The sequence below is a fragment of the Homo sapiens genome, chromosome 5 (assembly GCF_000001405.40).
Source record: "Homo sapiens chromosome 5, GRCh38.p14 Primary Assembly".
Lineage (NCBI taxonomy): Eukaryota > Metazoa > Chordata > Mammalia > Primates > Hominidae > Homo > Homo sapiens.
In genome coordinates, this window is record NC_000005.10 from 28,925,280 (window position 1) to 28,933,700 (window position 8,421).

The window sequence follows — 8,421 nt, forward strand, 5'->3', positions numbered from 1 at the left end:
TCCATTATAAAAATAATGAATGTTTTTATTTATTTAAACCAGTTGATTTTCCTGAAGACAACTGTATAAGAAACAGAGGAATTTGATTTTTTAAAGTCATAGGAATATTCCTATAGAATATTGATTTTTACTCATTTCTAATTATAATACATGTAGGGGCTTTTCATTAATACATTAATGTTAGTGTTTTTAAAAACTAATTATTTTTATCAATAAAATGCAAAATATTCTTCTGTATATAATTGCATCTAGTAGGGTATTTGCACTAGTGTGGCATCCCCGAAATATTTTTTTGGATATGAAAGACTAAAACAAGACTTGGTCAAGAAATTACGTATTTAGTCAAACCTTCTAAGGGTATTTTTCATTCGGACAGTGAATTAAATCAGAATATTAGGTATTAAAAAGCCATCTTCTACATTGTTGCCTCAGTGTTGAATACAATTCCAAATCTGACCCATTTTTGTGCTTAAAATATAGTAAAATCTATCCATTCCTTATATCATAATAAAGCACAATATCTTTCACTCATATACTCATTACATATACATTGTCCCCTACCATATTATCATATCTACTATATCTCTTTTAGATATTAAAGACCCAGAAATAAAGAAAACAGTGATTGTCTCTATTTTAAAGAGCAGGTTAGTAAAATGGTTTCAAGTGTTATGAAAGCTGTAAGGTTTGAAAGACAGAAAGAAATTTGGAGTTGGTTAAAGACGCCCTAACGTGAAGGATGAAAAACTATCTTGTTATTTGAAGAGTAAAAGAAAGTAGCTTTCTTCCAATCAGAGAGAAGAATAAATAAAATCTTCAGTGTAAAACTGGGTTCTCTGGGTTCAATGAGCAGAAAGCTGTTCTGTTTTCTTGGGACTTGGTGAACCTTTTTGAAACAGAGCAAAGTGAGTCGAAAAGACAGTCTAGAAACCTTTCAAGATTATTTGTTCCATGGGATTGACTTTAGATCCTATATTTAATAGAGAGATGTTGAGGCTTTTTTTTTTTAAGATGGAGTTTCGCCCTTTTTAAGCAAGGAAGGTATATGATCTGATTATATTTGAAAATATGGGCTCGGGGTTGTTCAGGGCGGGGTGGGCTCTGGACCCAGCAGGCCCGGCACCCAGGCTAGGCCTCCAGGGGAGGCCAGGTGGGGTGAAGGCCAAGAAGGGGCCGGGGCTGGTCAGGAAGGGCTCCTGGTGACCAGAGCACTTTGCTTGAGCCAGCGTGGGAGGGAGGTGGGCTGGATGAGCCAGGGAGGCGCTGGTAGGGGCCTTGGCAGACGCAACCTCCTCCGTCAGCCCCAAGGCCACTGAACCCTGCGTAGCGAGAACCGGGAGGGGGGGCTGCAGACGGAGGAGTGGAGGCTCCTTGGCTTTGGGGGCTTTGAGTAGAAGCATCTAGGGGTCCCTCAAGAGGCCCCGAAATGCTGCCCCATGGTGAGAAAAGGCGCGGAGAGGCGCATGGCACCGGCGCAGGTGCGGAGAGTCGCACAGGAGACCTCAGGCCCAGGCTCCACTCCCCAGCTGTGAAAGTACCACTGGCAGGACACCCAAGCTAGCCCGCCAGGCCTCCATAGAGCTGCCCAGCATGGCCGTGGCCAGTACCAAGAGTCGGTGGGAGACGGGTGAGGTACAGGCTCAGTCTGCAGCCAAGACTCTGTCCTGCAAGGATATTGTGGCTGGAGACATGAGCAACAAAAGCTTCTGGGAGCAGAAGGGAGGCTCCAAGACCTCATCAACAATTACGGCCCAGATTGCCTTCCTACAGGGAGAAAGGAAGGGCCAAGAAAATTTGAAGAAGGATCTCGTGAGGATGATCAGAATGTTGGAGTATGCTCTTAAACAGAAAAGAGCCAAATACCACAAGTTGAAATATGGGACAGAATTGAATCAGGGAGCTATGAAGCCTCCAAGCTATGATTCTGATGAAGGTAATGAAACAGAAGTGCAGCCACAACAAAACAGCCAGTTAATGTGAAAACAAGGTCGACAACTACTCAGGCAGCGTCATGATAACGTGAACAGAAGGTAGTTCAGTTTCTCCAGATTACCACAGAAGACAGCTCTGTGGATCCTCCTCAGATGAGATGATTTAATGTGGTATTGGGGAAATGAGAAGCCGTCGGAGCACAAGCGCTCCCTGAGGGTGGGCCACCACTCCGGCTGGTAGTCTTCCATACTCGTCTGCTGCAAATTGTATCCTGGGAACTCTCCAGCCGTATTTCAGCTCGCCTTCGGGGATCTCCGCCTCCGAAGCGCAACAACAAGCAATGCGGTCCGTCCACGGACCTTTGCACATACTCTCAGCGCCTCCCGCCTCTCAGCAGAAACGCCCAACAGAACGGTTAGGACCAGCGAGCACGTGCACCTTAGCCGGCCCCGCCCAACAGGCCCTAGGCGGAGAAACCGCCCTAGCAGCTCTCTCGCGGCGCCCAGTGCAGGCCGCGGTTGCTGCTCAGGTGCCGCCGGCTGGCGGGGCTCCCTGGAGCGCAAGGCGCGCCCTGCCCCAGGGCCTGTTTGACTGTGGCCTGCGCGCTCTTCTCCTCTTCCACCGGCTCCCGATGCTCCGGGCCCCCGCGCTGGGCCCTCTGCAGCCCAGGGATGGGGTTGAGTGGTGCTTCTCCGCCTGGTGCCGCCCGTGGGCCCACAGCCCGACTTCGCCACTGCGTCGCCCCCGGGGTCCGTGCTGATGGGTGTGAGGCGGGAGGACGGGATCCGGGGTTGCCACTGCTGCAGCCAGCGCACCACTTGCAGGTGGCAGCTGCAGCTCGGGCTCCGGCGGGGGCTGGCGGGGCTCCCCTGGGATGGCCTCCTGGGCCCTGAGTGCGCCGCCCATCCGGCCAGAGGGTGCGCGCCTCCTACACCCCGGGCCAAAGCCCATGCCCGGCGCTCCTGCCGCAGACTGCCTGACTTGCCGCGGCCGGGCTGGCCCCGGGGTCCGCGCGGCTGGAGGCGCCCGCCTGGTCGGAGATTCCCAATCCTCGGCGACCCCTGCTCCATGTGCTGGTGGCGGCTAGCGCCCATGGGCTGACCTGGCTTCCCGGAGCTGCGGCCGGCCACGCCCAAGGGCCCCACAGGCTGCGCTGCCCTTGCCAGCTGCTCCTGACCCGCGCCCAGAGTGCAGGACCTGGCGCTTGGCACTCTGCAGCCACAGGGATGAGGCTGAGCGCAGGTTCTCGTTCCTCATGGCGCCGCTGGGGCCACAACCTGACTTCACCTCCCCGTCGCCCAAGTCGTGTGATGGGCACGTGTGAGGAGGGGCAATCGGGGTTCCCAAGGCTGCTGCCTGCATGCCACTCTGTGGCCACTAGGATAGGGCTGAGGAGCTGCCAGGGGATGAGCACGTCGTGGCCATCGGGATGGGGCTGAGAGTCTATCTTTATCCTTATGCACCCGCCCAGCCGACTTCCTGACAGCCACTACCACAGCGTCCTGTCAGGGAGTCCTTGCTGTTGGGGCGGGGATGGGGAGGGCATGGAGAATCAGGGATGGTCTGGCCATTGCTGCTGGTGCCTGACGTGCAGGTGGCAGCTGCACCTAGGGCACGGGCTGGTAGGTCTCTTTTGGATGGTTTCCAGGTGGCCCATTGCGCCGTGACCAAGCCAGAGGGTCCACTCCACCTTAGCCCACACTAGGATTCCAGGGGCTACAGGCGTGGGTACTGCGTGGCCAAGCAGAAGGGGCTCAGCAGCCAGTTCAGCTTTCCTGCCTTTGCAGGGCTTGTTTTAAATCTTTTTTTATTTAACATTTTCTAAAAATACATACAAACAAAAAGATGCATATCAAACATATTAGGAAGGTTGCACATGCGAAGACGAGGAATAGAAATGGGGGGTGGGAATGAAAGAAAATAAATGAGAGAGGGACTTTGTATGGATCAGTGATAATAACTCAATCCTCTATGTCTTTGACAAGAAGGAGAAGGAAGAGGAAGAAAAAGAAAGTGGGATAAAGGATCAGAAAGGGAGGAAAATAGAAAAAAATAGAGTATGACTCCAGGGTAGACCTGTTTTGTTGTTGCTGGGTTGGTTGGTTGGTTGGTTGGTTTGTTGTATTTTTCATATGTTTCACCATGTTGGCCAGGCTGGTCTCGAACCCCTAGCATCAAGTGATCAACCCACCTTGGCCTCCTGGAGTGCTGGGATTACAGGCGTGAGCCACCACGTCCAGCCCCCACACTGCGTCTGGCCTCTGTGGTAGACCTCCCAGACGGGGCGGCCGGGCAGAGGCGCTCCCCACATCCCAGACGGGGTGGCCGGGCAGAGGCGCTCCTCACTTCCCAGACGGGGCGGCCGGGCAGAGGCGCTCCTCACTTCCCGGATGGGGCAGCCGGGCAGAGGTGCTCCTCACATCCCAGAGGATGGGCGGCCGGGCACAGGCGCTCCTCACATCCCAGACGGGGCGGCCGGGCAGAGGCGCTCCTCACATCCCAGATCCACAAAAGAAGTGAAAATAGCCTTAACTGATGACATTCCACCATTGTGATTTGTTTCTGCCCCACCCTAACTGATGTACTTTGTAACCTCCCCCACCCTTAAGAAAGTTCTTTGTAATCTCCCTCACCCTTGAGAAGGTTCTTTGTAATTTGTAATTCTCCCCACCCTTGAGAATGTACTTTGTGAGATCCACCTCCTGCCCGCAGAACATTGCTTCTAACTCCACCGCCTATCCCAAAACCTATAAGAACTAATGATAATCCCATCACCCTTTGCTGACTCTCTTTTGGTACTCAGCCCGCCTGCACCCAGGTGAAATAAACAGCCTTGTTGCTCAAAAAAAAAAAAAAAAAAAAGAAAAAGGAAAAAAAAAAGAAAATATGAAACCAGCTATTCATGAATAAAAGATTGTACAGAGACAAGAAAACCTGTAGATAGACTGGTTAGGATAACAGTGAGATAGACTAAGTGAGAGATATGGTGCTTTGAGCAAAAATGATGAAAGTGAAGATGGAGAAAATTACCTAAGTCATATCATATGATAGTGATATATTCAACTGCACTTGAGAATGGATTGCACAGAATAATGAAATGAATAGATAATGATGTGATAGGTCTTTAACTTGATGAATTAATTCCATTACTGTGCTTTCTACTCAGTTGGCAGAACTGGGAAAGGAAAGTAAGGGGTATCATAGCATTCATTATTTTAAATTCAAAGAGTCTATGTTGTGTGTTTTCTATTTTCTCTTCTGCATATTATACCATGTCCTGGCTGGCTGGATCAAAATTAAAATGGAAAGAAAGTTGGTTGTATATCTATGACACAGAAAATATTTTAATCATAGGTGTAAGGTAAAATCCAAATGCATAGGAGAATTTCCCAGCAGCTGAAAATGAGAATTCGGGACTCTGCTGAGTAGGTTGGGGAAAATTTAAAATGTTGGTTGTAGCTCTGGGGGAGCAAGAGAGATAACTGAAAGCCATATCTATCCAAACCATGTGGGTTCTTCATCACATGGATGCATGTGGATCTTTGCATCCCTTGTCTTAGATTAGCTGGTAAAACAAAAGGAAGATATCTCAGTCCCCACTTTCTTAGCAGCCCCCACACCAAAAGTCCAGAATGTATCTGATGTTATCATCATCTCTATGAGCCAAGCGTAGTGCCTACCATATAGCCCAAAACAGTTCAAACTGCAAGAACAAAGATCAGTGTCCATGCATACATTATTAGTAAAAAAAATAATAATAATAACATTTTTACATCATGTTCTACTGCTAGGCAAGTTTGCCAATGCTTTGTAGGATCTTCCTATTAAGCAAAGAAGAGACTTAAGGAGTGTACTATTTTCCTAGTTTTTAAGATAAAGCACCTGAAGGTCAGAGGTGACCCAAAGTTACAAAGCCTAGCTGCAAACTAGCGGAGTCAGGCTCAAATAGATATTTTCAGATTTCAAGTACATCAATCATCAAACTTTCCTCTATATAGGCCCCCGCCACCTAGGAGAATAAAATAGTTAAAATAGTTATGCAGCATTGCATAACTTGACCTTATTAGGACAAGAAACTCTCTCTGTCTTACAGACACTCTTATCCAGGGGTTACATTCACTGTAGGCTGCTAAAGGCTGCATCAGCTCACCTCACAACCCAATCATTCATAAAAACTTTGAACTTAAAAAATGTCAGGGACTTCACTACCTTGAACACAGGTCATGGATATATTTCATTACTCAAAAATTGTTACTCAAAATTAAAAGTCTGAATATGAGTATCATCATCATTATCAGCATTATCAGGCTTTATTTCTTTAAACATTATTTATAGAGAAAACACTGCTTAATTTTCTTCCTTTCAAGTAATATTTACCATTGAATTTTGAAGTAGCTCAGTTTTAGTCAAAAGCACACTAACACAATTATTTTTCTTGGGGTTAGCATGGCCCTGTCTCTTTTACAAGTATGAGTCAAATTCCTATAAAATGCCATTAGCATCCCTCTAAGGTTAAAATTCTCATGAGGAATTGGAAGGTAAAAATTAGTCCAAATGTTTTAAGCTTAGAAAACTGAATGGAAACATAGAATGAAATTAAAGCCATTCCACCTTTTGCAAACATGTGAACATTATTTCTCAACTTTCTGTTTTTTGAATTTTGAGGCAAACGGAGGATGTCAGTGTGGTGGCTCTGAGTGAGCAAAGGGAGGAATGGTATCAAATGAGATGAGATACAGCTAGAAGCTGAACTCCTTTTGTGTTCTGATGAGGAGCTTAAATTTTATTCTAGGACCAAGTAGGCTAGTTAGAAAAAGTAGATTGAGATAATTTGATTGATTTGATAATTTGATTGTAACTACCCATTGGAGACATCAATAAGGGTTGCTTCAGTCAGTGGTCTGGAAAGCATGAAATTCAGATTGTCGTGGGTTGGCCCGTGATGAAGTATATGGCAAGAGAGAAAGTAGGTATGGGAAACTCTTGGATATACATTTTTGTATGAGTGTGTGTACAGAATGCCAAATATTTAGAAACTACAAGTGACATAGGTCAAGGAAAAAATAAAATTGTGCATCTATTTGAGTGTGGGTGCTGAAACCAGAGATACTAAAACATGTACTGGAGGAATTATCTGCTGTAGAGAAAGTATTGATTTAAAAAATACAAATTAGTCTATGAGAGGTGAGAAGATCTGAGATTTGAAGGTCAGGGAATATCATTTAAAAAAGGTACAGGCACAATGGAAAGAATTTGCTGATATACTTTCACACTGTTACCAGACTAGAATATAAAGTTTTTTCACCAGATATTCCATAATACCCATTTCACATCATAGTCTGAATAGAAACTTTGGAATCAGTCAATCCAGATTTCAAATCAAATTCAGGTAATAAGTACTGAATCTGTTGCAAATTGCTTCCAATGAATTTCATTCTCTTCTTTCTTCTTTCTGACCTCTTCCCTACCCCCAGTAGTGATGTCTAACTTGCCAGAAGTTTTCCTTCTGGGTCTGACTGAGGTCTATGCCCAGAGAAATACTCAGGCTCTCTACTTATTCATATCTCATTTCTTAACCATTTCATTTGTTTAGAATGAATTATAGAATATCGCTTAAAACTAATTACTGTAATGAGATTACCAGATTTTTCTGAGTTAATACATTACCCATTCAATGCTTAAATGTGCTTTCTAAAATCAAGGTCTTATGTAAAAATATACAGATTTAAAGGCAAAGGTTTCCTAATACATCAAAATTAGAAGGCTTCATTAGGAAGAAAGCTCATCTTCCCTCAGATGGCAATATGATGATGGATTTCTGTATTTGATTTATGTATAAATTTAATGCTTAATGATACTCTGGAAAATAAGTGTTTGTAGAATGATATAACAAGGGGGGACATTGTTGAAAAACACAAACCATTCTGAAGACAGTAATGAATCTACTGAGAATCATGTAGAAAATGTTTTAAATATGATTAGATACTTGAGTAATGGATTTAAGGATTTTGTCATTAAATTTTACAAGATTAATGGGAAAATACATGAAAATCAAAAAAATATAATTAGAAAAATTTATCCATGGTTAAAATGCATTTAGATATTCAGGCCAATATTTAATATTCTTTTAACAGAAATGCATATATAGGTGTTATATATATATATATCCTACGTAATTGTATACTATGTACTATAATTACTTATATATAATTATGGAATATATATATCCTCATATACAATTTATATAAATATATAATATGTATTCACTTATATAAAATTATGGAATGCATATATATATATATCTCCTACACAACTTTATACAAATACATAGTATATTTCTGTTATGTGTATGTGGTGTGTGTGTGTGTATACACACAATAAAGATAAATTTACATAATGTATGTGGACCATATTTTTCTTTCACTGTCTTTCTTGTTAACATTTAGTATGTGTTTGTTTTAATTTGGCAAGAGCTTCAATAAAGTCTAC

General features: G+C 44.2%; 1 protein-coding gene and 1 pseudogene across 2 annotated transcripts; one reads left to right on the plus strand and one right to left on the minus strand.

Moving 5' to 3' along the window:
- Positions 1-318: 318 nt before the first annotated feature.
- On the minus strand, positions 319-3,973 carry LOC124901178 (translation initiation factor IF-2). Its single transcript, XM_047418005.1, has one exon. The coding sequence runs from the start codon at positions 3,024-3,026 to the stop codon at positions 2,226-2,228; it is 801 nt and encodes a 266-aa protein (XP_047273961.1). The 5' UTR covers positions 3,027-3,973; the 3' UTR covers positions 319-2,225.
- LSP1P3 (LSP1 pseudogene 3) lies at positions 1,591-2,034 on the plus strand (annotated as a pseudogene). The gene has a single exon (NR_033961.1). The product of NR_033961.1 is annotated as an LSP1 pseudogene 3 (transcript).
- Positions 3,974-8,421: the final 4,448 nt, after the last annotated feature.

Excerpts from the sequence above, each read along its gene's own strand:
- LOC124901178 (XM_047418005.1), bottom strand. The coding sequence starts at position 3,026 with ATGGGCGCTAGCCGCCACCAGCACATGGAGCAGGGGTCGCCGAGGATT.